This window comes from Homo sapiens, chromosome 4 (assembly GCF_000001405.40).
Source record: "Homo sapiens chromosome 4, GRCh38.p14 Primary Assembly".
NCBI classification, from domain to species: Eukaryota; Metazoa; Chordata; class Mammalia; order Primates; family Hominidae; genus Homo; species Homo sapiens.
The window spans coordinates 25,560,220-25,578,790 of record NC_000004.12 but is presented as its reverse complement, the minus strand read 5'-3'; the positions used below and the strand labels follow the sequence as shown (position 1 = coordinate 25,578,790).

Below are 18,571 nucleotides of genomic sequence, written 5' to 3'. Positions count from 1 at the left end.
GGTTATATGCAAATACTATGCCATTTATACCAGAGAACCGAGCAGGATTTTGGTATCTTCAGGGGGTCCTGGAACCAATTCTGCTCCATTTAAGCATTTGTTTGGAGATCCTTAGCTACACTGCAGCAGTGCAAATGGGCACAGAAACTTAAAATTCAAGGCATTTGGTCATCCACAAAAGACTGCTGAATTCCCAGACCAGCATAACAATAGTGTAGGTCACTGGGGAGGGGAAACAGCTCATGATTATGTAAACCATGGAAATTTTGTTTCAGGAAAAATCAAAGAGAGTTCTACTTAATATACTGGAAGACGAACTTGGAGAACTCACACACACACACACACACACACACACACACACACACACACGCATATCCCAAACTCCCAGGGTGGATGGAGCAAGAATATAAAGGTGACAGAAAAACAGAGATCCACGATGAGTTGTCTATGCATCCTAAAAATCCTTTCCCCCTTGGGAACAACTGCCTTTCTGCAAAACAACCCTCAGAGCCACTGACAGAGGCTGAGAGCAACATATAATTGCAGAATGAGCACTGAATTTGGAGTCAGACAGCCCTCAGGTATAAACTCCAAATTCCACGTCAGCCTCACTCCCACCCTAATTTGATCTCGTGCAAGTGCCCTAACCTAAGTTGGTGTTTTTTTTGTTTGTTTTTGTTTTTTTGAGACAGATTCTCCTCGCTCCGTCACCTAGGCTAAGTGCAATGGCACCATCTCAGCTCACTGTAACCTCTGCCTCCTGGATCCAAGCAGTTCTCCTGCCTCAACCTCCCAAGTAGCTGAGACTACAGGTGTGCACCACCACCCTGGCTAATTTTTGTACTTTTTGTAGAGATAGGGTTTCACCATGTTTCCCAGGCTGGTCTCGAACTCCTGGCCTCATGTGATCCACCCACCTCAGCCTCCTACGGTGTTGGAATTACAGGCATGAGCCACTGCACCCAGCCACAGATTCACGTCCTTAACTTAAACGCAGAGTTCACAGAATTGTAAGGGGGAAAAGATATTTAAATATTTACTGAGAGCACAATGGTGCACACCTGTAGTCTCAACTACTTAGGATTTGAAGCGGGAGGATCACTTGAACCCAGGTGTTCGAGGCCGGCTTGGGCAGGCAACATAGTGAGACCCTGTCTCTAAAAAACAAAACAAAGTATTTCCTGAGTACCAAGCCCTGTTTTAAGCAACGGGGACATGCAGTAAACAAAACAAAAGTCTGCCTTCATGGAGTTTATAACTGAGAGGGCAAGATGAACACTCAACACACACAGAAGTCAAAGCAGAGTGTATCAGATGGTGGTGAGAAGGGAGTGGGGAGAGTCGGGGAGGCCGCTGTTTTATTTAGGGCGGTCCGGGGAGGCTCATGTTAAGAAGACGTGAGGCAGGGCTGGGCGCAGTGGTTCACGCCTGTAATCCCAGCACTTCGGGAGGCCAAGGCGGGCAGATCACAAGGTCAAGAAATCGAAACCATCCTGGCCAACATGGTGAAACCCCGTCTCTACTAAAATACAAAAATTAGCTGGGCGTGGTGACACAGGCCTGTAGTCCCAGCTACTCAGGAGGCTGAGGCAGGAGAATCGCTTGAACCCAGGAGGCGGAGGTTGCAGTGAGCCAAGATCATACCGCTGCACTCCAGCCTGGGTGACAGAACAAGACTCTTGTCTCAAAAAAAAAAAAAAAAAAAAAAAAAAAAAAACACACCAGCTGTAGTGGCTCATGCCTGTAATCCCAGCACTTTGGGAGGCCAAGGCAGGCAGATCACCTGAGGTCAGGAGTTCGAGCCCAGCCTGGCCAGCATGGTAAAACTCTGTCTGTACTAAAAAATAAAAAAGACATGAGGCAGTCATGCAAATATCTAGGGGAAAAGGATTCCTGGCAGAAGGAACAGCAAAAGCAGAGCCCCTGAGGCAGGGACTTTTTGTGGATTTCACGTCACGAGGAGACCAGTGTAGCAAGCAGGGGTGAAGAGGTGTTCAAATAGGAGGATGCAGGAAATATCTGGTTTTCACCCGGAGTGAGCTGGAAAGCCATGGAAACGCTATGGTTGGCTTCTATTTGAAAGGTTTGCTTAGTCTGCTGTGAGAGAGGTTGGAAGGATCAACGGCCTGAAAAGAGAGACCAATTAGAGGCTACTGAAATAGTCCAGGCAGGAGATAATGGCTGTTTCAGTGTGACAATGGGGCGGAAGGACTGAGATGTGAATGGGAGAGGGGCACGTTTTGAAGGTAGGTTCAGCAGGATTTGTTGGAGTCTTAGCTGTTGGTATGAGAGAAAAGGGTCATTGATAACTGCAGTGTATTTGGCCCGAGCACCTAGAAGGATGGAGCTGCCACTAACTGAAATGAGCAAAACCACAGGAAGACTAGGATGGCAGAGAAGAAAACAAGAGTTCAGTTTGGGCTAAGTTTGAGAAGTCTATTGGATATACTGGTCTATTGGTTTGGATGTGCTCACCCAGGGACTAGGTACAGAGGGAGAAGAGAAGAGTTCAAGGACTCTGGGCTTAGACATCAAGGAGACGAGGAGAAGCAAAGAAGACCAGAAGGAGTGGTCAGTGGGGTAGGAGACAACACCAGGTACCCAATGAGTCTGTGCCACGGGTTGGCAAGTTGGCCCATTAAGGGGCACATAGTAAATATTTTTGGCTTTGTGGACTATGTGGTCTCTGTTGCCACCTCTCAACGCTGCCATTATAGTGCAAAAGCAGCCAAAGACAATATGGAAGTGAATGGACACGGTTGTTCCAGTAAAGCTTTACTGGATTTGGCCTGCAGGCTGTAGTTTGTCAAACCTTGGTGAATCTACATGGCGCCCATGAGCTGTGCAATGAGGAGAAAGAATGGTAGCCATGGTGTTCTGGAAGCCAAGTGGACAAAGTGTTGCAAAGGGGAGTAATCAGTGGTATCAAATGTGGCTGACAGTTTGAGTCAGATGAAGAAAGAGAAGCAGCCATTGACTATGGGAACACAGAGATCACAGATGGCCTCAGCAGGAGCACTTTTCCTGGAGTGGTAAGAACAAAAGCCTGATGAGAGTGAGCTCTAAATTGTAAGCATGGGCATGAGCAGAAACAACTCTTTCGAAGAGTTTTTTAGGACTCATTCAGTGGTGGAAACTGAGCATTTTTCCATTGTTTCAAGTAACTTGTGCTATTTGTACTTGTAAGAAAAAACAGCCCTTAGGATCTAGAGTTAAGTTAGAAGCCATCAAAATATGGTTAAGAGGCTGGGCACGGTGGCTCACGCCTGTAATCCTAGCACTTTGGGAGCCCAAGGCAGGCGGATAACTTGAGGTCAGCACTTCAAGACCAGCCTGGCCAACATGGTGAAACCCCTCGTCTCTACCAAAATTACAAAAATTAGCCAGGCGTGGTGGCGGGTGCCTGTAATCTCAGCTACTTGGGAGGCTGAGACAGGAGAATCTTTTGAACCCAGGAGGAGGAGGTTGCAGTGAGCGGAGATCGTACCACTGCACTCCAGCCTGGGTGACAGAGTGAGATTCCTTCTCTTTTTGTTTTTTAATTTTTTTTTTTTTCAGACAGAGTCTTGCTCTGTCGCCTAGGCTGGTGTGCAGCGGCATGATCTTGGCTCACTGCAGCCTTGAGTTTCCTTCTCAAAAATAAAATAAAATAAATAAATAAATATAAGGTTAAGATTTGATGGTGTGGTCCCAGGCATTATTTAGATGGGCCACTGTATTGCAGATCCCAAACACCCAATGCCTATTTATTTGTATGTTGCCCTGTGATAAAAAGTCTTTTTTTTTTTTTTGAGACAGGGTCTCACTCTGTCACCCAGGCTGGAGTACAGTGGCACGATCTTCACTTACTGCAACCTCCACCTCCCAGGTTCAAGCGATCCTGCCACCTCAGCCTCCCAAATAGCTGGGATTTACAGGCACGCACCACATCTGGCTAATTTTTGTATTTTTAGTAAACATGGAGTTTCACCATGTTGTCCAGGCTGGTCTCAAACTCCTGACCTCAAAGTGACCCGCCCGCTTCGGCCTCCCCAACCGCTGGCATTATAGGTGTGAACCACTGTGCCCAGCCTGAAAAAATCGTAAGACAAGTGTCTGCATCATGGTTAGAGGAAGTCCCTGCCGGGCCAAAATATTCCATTCTGAACTCGGATAGTAGCCTGCACATTCCTGCTGTCTACACAGCCAAGCAAGTTTTTCATTAACTGGGGTGAGTTATTGGCATGAGGATCCATCCACTGAAAAAGCCAAAATTTATGCCATACTTTGTTTCCCAGAGAGCCCAAACTATTTCATGTAAATTACCTCATTGATCTCCAAAGCCCTTGTGTGAGATTTAGAATTATTACTTTTTTTTCACCTTGACACCCAGTCTGTAGGGGGGCAATAAATATTACATTCTGCTGTTCATGATGCAGGACTGAGGACCATGCCAGTGAACTTCGAATTGTGGCTTTCGCATCTGAGCAGAGCCCTGGCGCGGGGAGCTGAGTAGGAGAGGACTGGTCTCACAGACCGCCCTGGGCATGTGTCCTGGGCACACTCAACCTCAGATCTTGCCTGCTTGTGGGATCACATGTGGCATCCTATGACCCTGCTTTCTTCTGTACACCCCTTGCCAACCACAAGTGGATTGGGAATGGGGCCCGTCCCCAGTAGCCCGTGTCTATGTCTGGCATAGCATCATGAGCTGGGGCCAATCCTCTGCCTCTCTCGGGAAAAAGTCCCCCATCAGACACAAGGAGATGAGAGGAGCAGACACACAGAGAGCCCCCATCACATTGATGGTGCAACCCTAAGGTGAAAATCCATGAATTTCTGAATGCAAGAGGTCCCTGGTGCTAGCTTGGATGCAGATGCCCTATAACTATGCTTCCAGGGAGTCTACGTCCTCTTGCACTTCCTGCTCCTAGCTTTCCATGAGATTCTGTCCTTATGATCATCACACACACACAGCCCTGGGACCAGCATTCTTTCTTTTTGAGGGAATTCCAGGAGAACTTTATTCCTTGTAACCAAGCACTTAGCTCCAACTCAGATGAAGCTGACCCACATCTACCAAGGCTTGGGAGCACCAAACAGCAAACTATTCAAGCAGCCTCTTGCTCTTGAAGTTCTGTCTGATTAAAAACAGGCAGTAGTTGGAAGGGGTGAAAGAGCGCCACAGCAAGGTGGGTATTTTGGTGAGCAGGCACCCTGGGGACTTCCTCTCTGGTTTGTTTTTCTTTCTTTTTTTTTTTTAAGAGACAGGGTTGGCAGGTGCTGTGGCTCACACCTATAATCCCAACATTTTGGGAGGCCAAGGTAGGAGGATTGCTTGAGCTCAGGAGTTCGAGGCCAAGCACGGGTGGCTCACGCCTATAATCCCAGCACTTTGGGAGTTTGAGGTGGGAGGATCAGTTAAGGTCAGGAGCTCGAGACCAGCCTGGCCAACGTGATGAAACCCTATTTCTACTAAAAATATATAAAAAAAAAATTAGCTGGGTGTGGTTGTGGGCACCTGTAATCCCAGCTATTTGTGAGACTGAGGCAGGAGAATCACTTGAACCCGGGAGGCGGAGGTTGCGGTAAGCCGAGATCCCACCACTACGCTCCAGCCTGGGTGACAGAGTGAGATTCCATCTTAAAAACAGACAAGGGCCGGATGTAGTGGCTCACGCCTGTAATCCCAGCACTTCGGGAGGCTGAAGCAGGCGGATCACCTGAGGTCAGGAGTTCGAGACTAGCCTGGCCAACATGGCAAAAACCCGTCTCTACTAAAAACACACGAAAATTTAGCCAGGCATAGTGGGGCGCGCCTGTAATCCCAACTACTCGGGAGGCTGAGGCAGGAGAATCTCTCGAACCTGGGAGGCAGAGGTTGCAGTGAGCCGAGATTGCGACATTGTACCTCAGCCTGGGCGACAAGAGCAAAACTCCGTCTCAAAAAACCAAAAACAAACAAATAAAACCTCTGATGAAAGGAGTTTGAGACCAGCCTGGACAACACAGTGAGACCCCAACTCTACAAAAAAATAAAATTAGCTGGATGTAGCGGTGCACGCCTGCAGGCCCAGTGACTCGAGAGGCTGAGGTGGGAGGATCTCTTGAGCCCAGGAGGTTGAGGCTGCAGTGAGCAATGATTGTGCCACTATACTCCAGCCTGGGTGGCAAACCGAGATGTTGTCCAGGCTGGAGTGCAGTGGTACCATCATGGCTCACTGTAACCTCAAACTCCTGGGCTTAAGCAATCCTCACACGTCCCAAGTAACTTGGACCACAGGCACATGCCACCATGCCTTGCTCCTGGTTTGTTTTTCTTCTTCCAAAAGTTCTGTATTATTCTAGGTCATCTCTGTTGTGTAGACCCAGAGACCCACCCTGCCCTAGCTCATCATTTGTTCATTTATTCAACATTCACTGGACACCTACTATGAGCCCAACACCCTAGGCACTGAGGCTACAAGAGTGAATAAGTCAGACCCAATCTCTGACCTTCAGGGCTACAGTGTAAAAAGAGAAACAGACGATTAAACAAGCAAGTGCATTATGATGTCCTGTGGCCTCAGAGAGGAAACTGGGTAGAGGAAACCCCAGGGCAGGCAAAGCAACTTCTTGTCTTGAGGAAGTCATGGGGGCTTCCTGGAGAAAGTGGCCCCTAAGCTGAGGCTTGACAGGGAGTTGGGGTTACTCAAGGAGGAGGCAGAAGGGTGTTGGAGGCAATGGAAGCCACACAACTGAGCAAAGGCCAGGCCAGGTCAAGGTCCCTGGAGCAATCGGATTAAAATGAGACACAATCCAGGGTCCCAAAATGCCCCAGTGGGAGAGGGGACAGCACATGCTCCCAAGTTCCTGTCTTACTCATAACATTTTTTATTCTAAATGAAGCTTAGGATCCAGTCAGTCCACCTCGGAGCAGACCTACATTTCCATCCTGAGCCCAGAGAATCTTTTGGCTGGAAACCAAAGCAAACCGAGAGCAGCTCATTCATAGGACCCCAGTTGACCACATCCACAGCAGAGAAAGGGGGGCTGCAGCCCATAGACTCGGGGCTATGCCTGCTGCCAGCACAGGAGAAAACACACCAGGGGCTGGAGACCCCAGGGGTCCCCCAGAAGAGGGGTGATGGTGTATTTCCCTAAGAGTTTTTTCTCCACCATATTTCCTGGATGTATCTCTGGGGTTGATTCCACACATCTCGCCAGCCCAGAATGGGGAGATCTGGCCTTTATGTGTCAAAGGATCTATGTAGCAATGGGGTTCAGCTTCTGCTCTGCATGGCTTTAGGGATTGCCAGCACGTGCTCCCCTTTTTCATCCCATCACAGTGAGCTACGATTATGTTTGGAGCAAGCCAAAAAAATTGCATTCCAGCCTGAGCCACAGAGTGAGACCCTGTCTTCAAAACAAACAACCAAACAAAAAATAGAGAGAGAGAGACAGGGTCTTACTATGTTGGCCAGGCTGGTCTGGAAGTCCTAAGTTCGTGCCTTGGCCTCCCGAAGTGTTGGGATTACAGGCATGAGCCACTATGCCTGGCCCCATCTCTATTTAAAAAAAAAAAAAAAAAAAAAAGAAGAGTGAAGCAGGCTGGGTCTGCATTAGAAACATCTGAAGTTCATACCATAGGTTAGTGAGGTGAAGACAGACCAGGTTCCATCCTAGGCTATAGGCCACAGAACTCAACTTACGTCCAATAAATGATCACTGTGTGCCAGGTAGTTACTATCATTATTATTCCCTTTTACAGATGAGGAAACAAAGGCCCAGAGAGGTCAAGTGACTTGCCCAAAGTCTCACAGCTAGGAAATGTAGAAGCTGAGATATGGATTCTGGTAATCTGCTACTAGAAGTCAAGGGTTAGAGGTCAGAACTGCATCGGTTTAAGTCCAGCTGGGAAATCTGATACACACACCTGGTAAGTGGGTTTTAAGGATGACATGCATCTTAAATAGCTCTTCATGGCTGCTCTTCAGGCAGCTGAGGCTCTGAAGAAAACTTAGCAGCTGGAATTGCAAATGTTTGTTGAATGAATTAATGACTGAACCAGGGTTATTTGGGGCCTCATCTTCCTTTCCACCTTCTTCCCTTGGCTTCTCTCTTAAAGGATTTTATCCTCCAAGACACTTCTTACCTCACTTGTCCACTCTGATAGCCAGTTCTTCCCCTCTCTGACCTCTCCCGTAATTCCCAGCCTCACTGGGACTCTGGGTTAAAGTTGTGGCTCTGCCACTCACTAGTTCTGTGACTTGGTGCAGTTTCTTTTCCTTTTTTTTTTTTTTTTCAGATGGAGTTTTGCTTTTGTTGCCCAGGCTAGAGTGCAATGGCACAATCTCGGCTCACTACAACCTCCGCCTCCCAGGTACAAGCAATTTTCCTGACTCAGCCTCCCATGTAGATGGGATTAGAGGTGTGTGCCACAACGCCTGGCTAATTTTTTTTTTTTTTTTTTTTTGAGACGGAGTCTCGCTCTGTCACCCAGGCTGGAGTGCAGTGGCACGATCTTGGCTCACTGCAACCTCTGCCTCCTGGATTCAAGTGATTCTCCTGCCGCAGCTTCCTGAGTAGCTGGGATTACAGGTGCCCGCCACCATGCCCAGCTAATTTTTGTATTTTTAGCAGAGACAGGGTTTCACCATGTTGATCAGGATGGTCTCGAACCCTTGACCTCAGGTGATCCACCTGCCTTGGCCTCCCAAATGCTGGGATTATAGGCATGAGCCACCATGCCCATCCAGAGTTGGTGCAGTTTCTTAACTCCTCTGAGTCTCTACTTTCTGGACTGCTAAAAAGAAGTCGATGGCCCTATCCTCTTAGACCAGTGGATCAAATAGAATAACGCAGAGCATTGCTTGACAGCATGACTGTGCCCAGCTCATAGGAGGTATTTGCTCCCCTCCTCTTTAGCTTTCAAGCATAATAAACCTTTGGACTTTCCCTCTATCAATCCATCCATTCAAAGATAATTTCTTGTTTCAATATATCCTGAAGGCATATGTTTCTTTGGTCTCGGCTGAGAACCAATTTTTTTTTGTTTTTTTGAGACAGGGTCTCGCTCTGTCGCCCAGGCTGGAGTTTAGTGGTGCGATCTTGACTCACTGCAACCTCTGCCTCCCGGGTTCAAGCAATTCTCCTGCCTCAGCCTCCTGAGTAGCTGGGATTACAGGCGAGTGCCACCACACCCAGCTAATTTTTGTATTTTTAGTAGAGATGGGGTTTCACTATGTTGGCTAGGCTGGTCTTGAACTCCTACCTCATGATCCACCCACCTCAGCTTCCCAAAGTGCTGGGATTACAGGCATGAGCCACTGCTCCCAGCCTGGCTGAGAAGCAATTCTAAGCCACCACACAGAGTTGCAAAACCATAAAACAATTAGCAATAACTCTGCCATCAAACAGTTAATTACCAGGGAGTGTAAATATGTGCTCAAGGCTCCAACTTACAGACTAATAGGAGTTTTGAAGCTTGCCGTTTTTTGAAGGCTTATACAAAATAGTTTCCTGCAAACTCAAGTGGCTGGGAAGCCCAGCTGAAGGTTACTTCTACCCCAAGGCCATGTCAGCAGAAAGTGGCCAACAGGACTTGGGCCTGAAAAAGCTCAGACTGAATTTTAGGAGTGACATCTGAAACTGCTGGTTTCTCACAAGGAATAAAAGCTGTCTGGGAAGCTGGAGAGGCAGTGTGCTGTCTGGAGCAGGGACTTGCAAATGGGTAAGTAGATATCTGAGGAGATTAAGAGCCCAGTGTCAGCCGGGTGTGGTGGGTCACTCCTGTAATCCCAGCACTTTGGAGGCCAAGGTAGGCAGATCACTTGAGGTCAGGAATTCAAGACTAGCCTGGCCAACCTGGTGAAACCCTGTCTCTACTAAAAACATAAAAAGATTAGCTGGGTGTGGTTGGTGGCACGTGACTATAGTCCCAGCTTTTTGAGAGGCTCAGGCAGGAGAATTGCTTGAACCCAGGAGGGGGATGCAATGAGCCAAGATTGTGTCACCGCACTCCAGCCTGGGCGACAGAGTGATACTCTGTCTCAAAAAAAAAAAAAAAAAAAAAAAAAGTGAGTACAATATTGATTGGGATGGTCTTCAGGCATGGAGCTCAGATGTTCTGTTTTTCAAACTGTGGCCCAACACATGACCACGGTAGAAGTCAACAAGTCTGAGTTCTTGGAACTGTCTTAAGATGCTGACTGGTTGGATTGCAGGGCCTTTGGTTCTTCATTTCTCTGCCAACTAAGATTTTCCAGATCAGCAGTAGTAATACTGGAAGCACCCTCTTTCCTGCTTTGACTGAGATAAGTCACCAAGGAATCTTTGGATTTCCCCAACATGAAACATTTTAATCAAACCTGAAGAGAAATTGAGATGTTTGAGAGATTAAAAGAGGACTTAAGATGTCTTGGTTCCGTTCAATTTCTCTTAAGGGTCAACTCTTAATCATAAAGCAAATATGTTGGTATTTTGTAATATATTAGTCTTACGTAATTTCTCCAGACTTCCAACCTTTAAGAAGGCGGATTGAATATAAATTAAATGGTTTCTATTTACTCTAACTCAATAATACAGAGTTTGACTAGAAAGTAATCAAAGTGACTTTTAGAATAAACACTCCAGGCTGGGCGCGGTGGCTCACACCTGTAATCCCAGCACTTTGGGAGGCTGAGGCAGGCAGATCACCTGAGGTCAGGAGTTTGAGACCAGCCTGGCCAAAATGGTGAGACCTAGTCTCTACTAAAAATACAAAAATTAGCCAGGTGTGGTGGCACTTGCCTGTAATCCCAGCTACTCAGGAGGCTGAGGCAGGGGAATCGCTTGAACCCAGGAGGCGGAGGTTGCAGTGAGCCAAGATGGTGCCACACTCCAACCTGGGTGACAGAGCAAGACTGCATCTCCAAAAAAAAAAAAAAAAAAAAGAATAAACACTTCAAAACTCTCATAATAGAGCAAGTAATGGCTTTGGAGTAGATACCTTCAGAGCATATGTACCAATCTGGAAAGTTGTTATAGCTCAAAACACATTCTGCAGCCCCCTCCATCAAGATTGCCTTCAAGGCTAATTTACAACACACAAGTGAAAATCTACTTTTGAGTCCACATACAGTTATGTGGCTTGTCTACTCTATATTAATCCCCAGATTTGGCCACAGATGGTTTGTGTCTATTTCTAAAAATCAAATCTACCTCCAAAGGATGAAGATTTATCATTCCCCCAAAGACATACGGAAATTTAAAAATGCAATGCAGGCTCTGAAGGTAATTCTCAAGCACCGTTGCTAAAGTGTGAATAATAGAAGCATTGTTTGAAAGTCAAGCTTTCCCAGGTGGTGACTTTGAAGACTGCATACCTCATTTGTATGCACTGGGTCACAACATACCAGACCTAGAAGAGGCCTTGAAGACAGGAGCAGGGACAAGGGGGACAGGATCCTTAGACTTTGTGTCCCAGGTCCCTCACTCTCCTCATCCTCATCCCAGTCTTACATCAACATTTTCTAGCACACATTTAAGCTGCCTCCCTCCACCCCATCCCATTCATGGCTTTGTTAAGAGCATCAATCATGTTATTTTACATCACATCTCATGAATGTGGTTCTAAACAATGATAATAGGAGTTGAAAGAGAAAACCAGCTTGAGGCCGGGCACGGTGGCTCACGCCTGTAATCCCAGCACTTTGGGAGGCCGAGGCAGGCGGATCACGAGGTCAGGAAATCGAGACCATCCTGGCTAACACGGTGAAACCCCGTCTCTAGTAAAAATACAGAACATTAGCCGAGCAAGGTGGCAGGCGCCTGTAGTCCCAGCTACTCGGGAGGCTGAGGCAGGGGAATGGCGTGAACCCCAGGGGGCGGAGCCTGCAGTGAGCCGAGATCGTGCCACTGCACTTCAACCTGGGCGGCAGCGAGACTCCGTCTCAAAAGAAAAAAAAAGAAAACCAGCTTGAGGCTTATGTTGGATTTAGTGCCTTCCACAGCCTAGTAAGATGCTCAATAATGTTGATAAAATGAACTGGACTTGAGATGTGATACTAGGAAATATATTTTAGCTATGGAATATATCATCACTGTTCTCAGTGCCAGTGTTCACCACTGCATTGCAGACTGTGGTGGGAATTACAAATGCCATGCTATTAAACCACCTCAGATAGATGTCTGTTGAATTTTTTTAAAGCTTCAACTATTTCTGGTATTGATTTTCCCGAATAAGGGGCTATTATCAAGAACTGTAAAGTACTCTGTTCAGTAGATAACCATTAAAATCCAATCCCTGCCAAGTCACAGAGAGAAGAGATGGGAAAATGTGCTTTGTCAGAGGCTGGCGGAAGTCGGCTGCAGGAAGAATTTGGGGGCAAACCTTAGGAAGAGCTCAAGTTATCAAAAGCAAAATCGCCAGCCTCATGCAACAGTGAATTGGCCATCCTAGAAGTATTCCAATAGAGGTCAGATGACCCCTTTTTGGGAGATGGTGTCTATAGAGGGGCTTCTACAATAAGCTACAGAGCTCCTTGGTCCCCCTCGGAGGTTGAGTTTTTAGGATTCTTTAACACGGATTGCAAGATAAGAATCTATATAATACAGACATCAACAGATTCCTTGACTAAATCATTATCCTCTTTTATTCTGTTTTGATAGAACAATTTTTCTTTAGCTTCTTTCTTTCCTTCCTTCCTTCTTTTTTTTTTTTTGAGACAGGGTCTTGCTCTGTTGTCCAGGCTGGAGTGCAGTGGCACAATCTTGGTTCACTGCAACCTCTGCCTCCCAGGTTCAAGCAATTCTCATGCCTCAGCCCCCCAAGTAGCTAAACTGCAGGCACATGCCACCATGCCCAGCTAATTTTTGAATATTTTGTAGAGATGGGGTTTCACCAATTGGCCAGGCTGGTCTCGAACTCCTGACCTCAGGTGATCTGCCTGCCTTGGCCTCCCAGAGTGTTGGGATTACAGGCATGAGCCACTGCACCCGGTAGCTTTTTTTTCAATCAAAACTCTAATCCCGTTCACTGAAAGGAATCTTTCTGATTAGCCAAGTGAGGTATTGACTTCATACCCACTTCCCAAGTCAATCAGAACGGTCTTTGCCTTTTCATCAGGATTTCTAAACAGCAATAGACATTCATAGGGAAGGAAATGAGCATCTTGTTAAATCTTCACAAATACTCTGATAAGCAAAAATTCAGGTCCATGTTATGCAAACAAGGAAACTGTGGGTGAGGGAGGTCTCAAGATCTCACAGCTAGCAAAAGCTAGAGTGGGCACTCCTGCACAGGTCAGCATGGTTCCAGAACACATGCTCTTTCCATTATACCAGGATGTCCCCTGTGTCCACATGTGTGTATAAATACTGCACTGAGTCACCCAATCCACGTATTGTTATTTCAGTTTTTATCGATGCATCGACACTCTTCACAATATGATTCTTTTTTATTTTTTATTTTTTGAGACAGAATTTCGCCCCTGTTGCCCAGGCTGGAGTGCAATGGTGTAATCTCAGCTCACTGCAACCTCCTCTTCTCAGGTTCGATTGATTCTCCTGCCTCAGCCTCCCGAGTAGCTGGGATTACAGGCATGCGCCACCATGCCCAGTTCATTTTTGTGTTTTTAGTAGAGGCGGGGTTTCACCTTGTTGATCAGGCTGGTCTGAAACTGCTGACCTCATGTGATCCACCCGTCTCAGTCTCCCAAAGTGGTGGGATTACAGGCATGAGCCACTGAGCCGGGCACACGATACGATTCTATGTTAGCCATGAAAGGTCATCTAGTGGTAGCATTGTGCCGAGCACGGCCCTGGTAGCTTACTGTAACAAACTCGTGGTTCCCCAGCAGTAGGTACTGTTGTCATCTCCATTTCTGAGATTAAAAACAGGCTGGGCCAGGCGCGGTGGCTCACGCCTGTAATCCTAGCACTTTGGGAGACCAAGGCAGGTGGATTGACTGAGCTCAGGAGTTTGAGACCAGCCTGGGCAACACGGTGAAACCCCATCTCTACTAAAATACGAAAAATTTGCCAGGCGTGCCAGCATGTGCCTGTAATCCCAGCTGCTTGGGAGGCTGAGACAGGAGAATTGCTTGAACCTGGGAGGCGGAGGTTGCTGTGAGCCGAGATCTTGCCACCGCACTCCAGCCTGGGTGACAGAGCGAGATTCCATCTAAAAAAACAAAAACAACAACAACAAAAAAACCTGAGGCTTAGGGAGTTTAGGTGACTTGTACAAGTCACATGGCTAGTAAGTAGTAAAAAGAGGGTTTGAGCCAGGTGCAATGGCTCACACCAGTAATCGCAACACTTTGGGAGGCCAAGGGGGGAGACTGCTTGAACCCAGGCTGTGTTAGTGCCACTGCACTCCAGGCTGGGTGACAGGGCAAGAGCCTGTCTCAAACAAAACAAAACAAAAAGAGGGTTTGAACCCAGACTTTCAGTCAATCAGTATCCTTATCCGCCTTAACCACTAAACTATACTGCCTCTACCCTACTTGAGGAGGAAGAGTCATTTTACATTTTAATAAAGCATCGGCAGATAGTGTCATATTCATAGCAGGAAATTAATAAATATGGTATTAATTGGTAACGGGGGGGAGACAATCAAGGAAGGGAGGAAATAACAAATTACTAGGTGGGCAGGTAGTCAGAATGGTCTGGTGGATTGTCAGAGATCAAAGATGTTTGGCCGGGCATGGTAGCTCACACCTGTAATCCCAGCACTTTGGGAGGCCGAGGCAGGCAGATCACCTGAGGTCAGGAGTTCAAGACCAGCCTGGCCAACATAGTGAAACCCTGTCCTACTAAAAATATAAAAATTAACCGGGCGTGGTGGCACACACCTGTAATCCCAGCTACTGGGGAGGCTGAGGCAAGAGAATTGCTTGAACCTGGAAGGCCAAGGTTGCAGTGAGCCGACATCACGCCCTTGTACTCCAGCCTGGTGATAAGAGCCAAATGCCGTTTCAGAACAAACAAACAAACAAACAAAAAACCAACTGCAGGGTCAAAAGCCTTTGAGAAAAAGCTGTGATTATCCAAATGTAGTGTTGCCTTCTTGTTCCAGAAAACTGAACTGAGGGGCTGGAAAGAGGGAAGAGCTCCTGGACACCCTTTCAGATCTGAAAAACTGGCCCTGCCTGTTTGATCTAATGCCTTTGAAGGGTTAAATCAGCTCCTTTGGCTCTCCAAGCATTCATTCAACAACAATAAAAAAATTTTTTTGAGATGAGGTCTTGCTCTGTTGTTCAGGCTGGAGTTTAGTGGCGTCGTCACGGCTCACCGCAGCCTCAACCTACTGGGCTCAAGTGATCCTCCCACCTCAGCCTCCCAAAGTGCTGGAATTACAGGCATGCACCACCACGTCCAGACATTCAACAAATATTTACTTAGAGATAACTCCATGCCAGGCACTGGGAACAAGCAAAGGCCCAAATACAGCCCCTGCCTCATGGAGCTTACATCAGAGGAGTCATGAGTAGAATATGATACTTCGGGTGAGGCTAATTGCTATGAAGGTAAACAAAACCATAGCAAGAGTAACAGGAGAGGAGTGCATTTTAAATAGAGTACTCAGGCCAGGTGCTGTGGATTATGCCTGTAATCCTAGCACTTTGGGAGCTCAAGGCAGAGAGATCACTTGAGGTCACGAGACCAGCCTGGGCAACATGGCGAAATCATGCTGGCACGTGCCTGTTGTTCCAGCTACTAAAGAGGCTGAGGCAAGACAATCGCTTGAGGCCAGGAACAGTGGCTCATGCTTGTAATCCCAGCACTCTGGGAGGCCAAGGCAGGCAAATCACGAGATCAGAAGTTTGAGACCAGCCTGGCCAACATGGTGAAACCCCTCTCTACTAAAAATACAAAAATTAGCTGGGTGTGATGGTGCATGCCTGTAATCCCAGCTATTCAGGAGACTGAGGCAGGAGAATCACTTGAACCCAGGAGGTGGAGGATGCAGTGAGCCGAGATCGCGCCACTGCACCACTGCACTCCAGCCCAGGTGACAGAGTGAGACTCCATCTCAAAAAAAAAAAAAAAGAGAGAGAGAGAAACACATCATTAGGCAATTTCATCATTGTGTGATCATCCTAGAGTGTACTTTCACAAACCTAGATGGCGTAGCCTGCTACACACCTAGGATATATGGTACAGCTACAAACCTGTACAGCATGTGACTGTACTGAATACTGTAGGCAACTGTAACACAATAAGAAGTATTTATGAATCTAAACATAGGAAATTGTAACACAATGGGAAGTATTTGTGTATCTAAACATAGAAAAGGTACCATGAAAATACAGTATTATAATCTTATGGCACCACAATCATATATGCAGTCCATTGTTGACTGAGATGTTGTTATGTAGCACATGACTGTATATATTTCACTTACTTGGAAAATTGTAATATATGTATTTTTTCACTTAACTTAAAACATATATATTTTATATATACTTTTATTTGAAAAATATGTGTCTATTTCACTTACTTGAAAAGACATCAAATGAAGCAATTAAGAACTTAAGGCCAGGTGTGGTGGCTCATGCCTGTAATCCCAGCACTTGGGAGGCCGAGGCAGGTGGATCACCTGAGGTCAGAAGTTCAAGACCAGCCTAGCCAACATAGTGAAATCCTGTTACTACTAAAAATACAAAAATTAGCCTGGCATGGTGGTGCACACATGTAGTCTCAGCTACTTGGGAGGCTGAGGCAGGAGAATTGCTTGAACCCAGAAGGTGGAGGTTGCAGTGAGCCACGATCATGCCACTGCACTCCAGCCTGGGCGACAGAGCGAGACTCAGTCTCAAAAAACAAATTAAAAAAAGAAAAGAATTTAGGCTGGGCACAATGGCTCACACCTGTAATCCCAGCACTTTGGGAGGCCAAGGCGGGTGGATCACGAGGTCAGGAGATCAAGACCATCCTGGCTAACGCTGTGAAACCCCGTCTCTACTAAAAATACAAAAAAAATTTAGCCGGGCATGGTGGCAGGTGCCTGTAGTCCCGGCTACTCGGGAGGCTGAGGGAGGAGAATGGAGTGAGTGAACCCAGGAGGTGGAGCTTGCAGTGAGCTGAGATCGCGCCACTGCACTCCAGCCGGGGTGACAGAGCGAGACTCCGTCTCAGTAAGTAAGTAAATAAATAAATAAATAAATAAATAAAATAAAATTTAAAAATAAAATAAATTTAAAAATAAAATTAAAAAATAAAAGAATTTAACAACTGGGTTCTTGAGTCAGGCATCCAACCTTTGGCCTGAATCCTTTCTACTCTCTCTCTGTATGGCTTGGGTAGAAACATATTCCTTTATTTTTATTTTATCTTTTTTTTTTACCTGCCACCTATTCTTTGCAGAAACATATTTCTTTAACACTCCATTTTTGAGTTTGTAAAATAGAACTAACAAGAGTGCTGGTCGGGTGCGGTGGCTCATGCCTGTAATCCTAGCACTTTGGGAGGCTGAGGCGGGAGGATCACTTGAGGTCAACAGTTGGAGACCAGCCTGGCCAACATGGCAAAACCCTGTCTCTACTAAAAATACAAAAATTAGCCGGGTGTGGTGGCAGGCACCTGTAATCTCAGCTACTCAGGAGGCTGAGGCAGAATAATCACTTGAATATGGGAGGTGGAGGCTGCAGTGAGCTGAAATCATGCCACTGTACTCCAGCCTGGGTGACAGAGCCAGACTCTGTCTTAAAAAAAAAAAAAAGTGCCTATGGAATGAGGTTATAAGGTTGCTTGAGCATGCACAGAATAGCTGCTCAATAAATGGTAGCTACTACATTATTATCACTATTATTAATATTAAATACCTACTCTCTGTCCAACATTTTGCACGTATTACCTCTATTCATTACCAAGAACCATAGAAGGTAAATATTATTATCCTCAAATACAGATGGAAAAAAATCCCTCAGCTGGAAAGGTTGAGGAACTTGCCCAAGGGGAAGGGACAGCTCTCAGGAAAATCTTTCAACAGTCCTAGGTTCCCATGACCACACCCACCGTGACTTTGCCTTCTCCAGTGAGCATATGTAACAACCCGTGACGTCCATGGTCTTTTCTTGCCCGCACACACGCTACGTTAAGACTCTCTCTTTGTTTAGAAATCACTCTCCTTGATTTGCACTCCGTATCAGGGTTCTTTCTCTGTTTAGAAATCACTCTGCTTTGATTTGTTTGTTTCTATTAAAGAACTGGAAAACCCTTGTCCTTGATGTCTGAATGGCATAAGAGTTGTGACTGCATGGCCCCACGGCATCACAATTTCTGCCCCATGATCATAATAAAAGGAGTTGGGACCTCTGCCCTGTCAGAGCAGTAACCCATTGGGTCTTGGCAGGAGGGCCGGGTCCCACTGTGTCCTCATCCCAGACATTGAGAGTAATGGAGGTGGAAGGTGCCTCAATAGGAAGGATGAAAGCAGCAGAACTGCTACTTGGGTACGAGAACGAATAAAAAATAAGGGAAACCCCTTTTTTTTGTTTTTTGAGACAGCATCTTGCTCTGCCGCCTAGGCTGGAGTGCAGTGGCGTGATCTTGGCTTACTGCAGCCTCCACCTCCTGGGTTCAAGCGATTCTCCTGGCTCCACCTCTGGAGTAGCTTGGATTACAG

The 18,571-nt window shown here is 46.5% G+C and overlaps 1 long non-coding RNA gene across 1 annotated transcript in view; it reads left to right on the top strand.

Moving 5' to 3' along the window:
* The first annotated feature begins 9,444 nt into the window (after positions 1-9,444).
* The window catches only part of LOC101929161 (uncharacterized), a 38,307-nt gene continuing 29,180 nt past the window's right edge, over positions 9,445-18,571 (top strand). Inside the window, exon 1 of the long non-coding RNA NR_134641.1 lies at positions 9,445-9,691. This is a non-coding gene — a long non-coding RNA (uncharacterized LOC101929161). The remainder of the gene's footprint in view (positions 9,692-18,571) is intronic.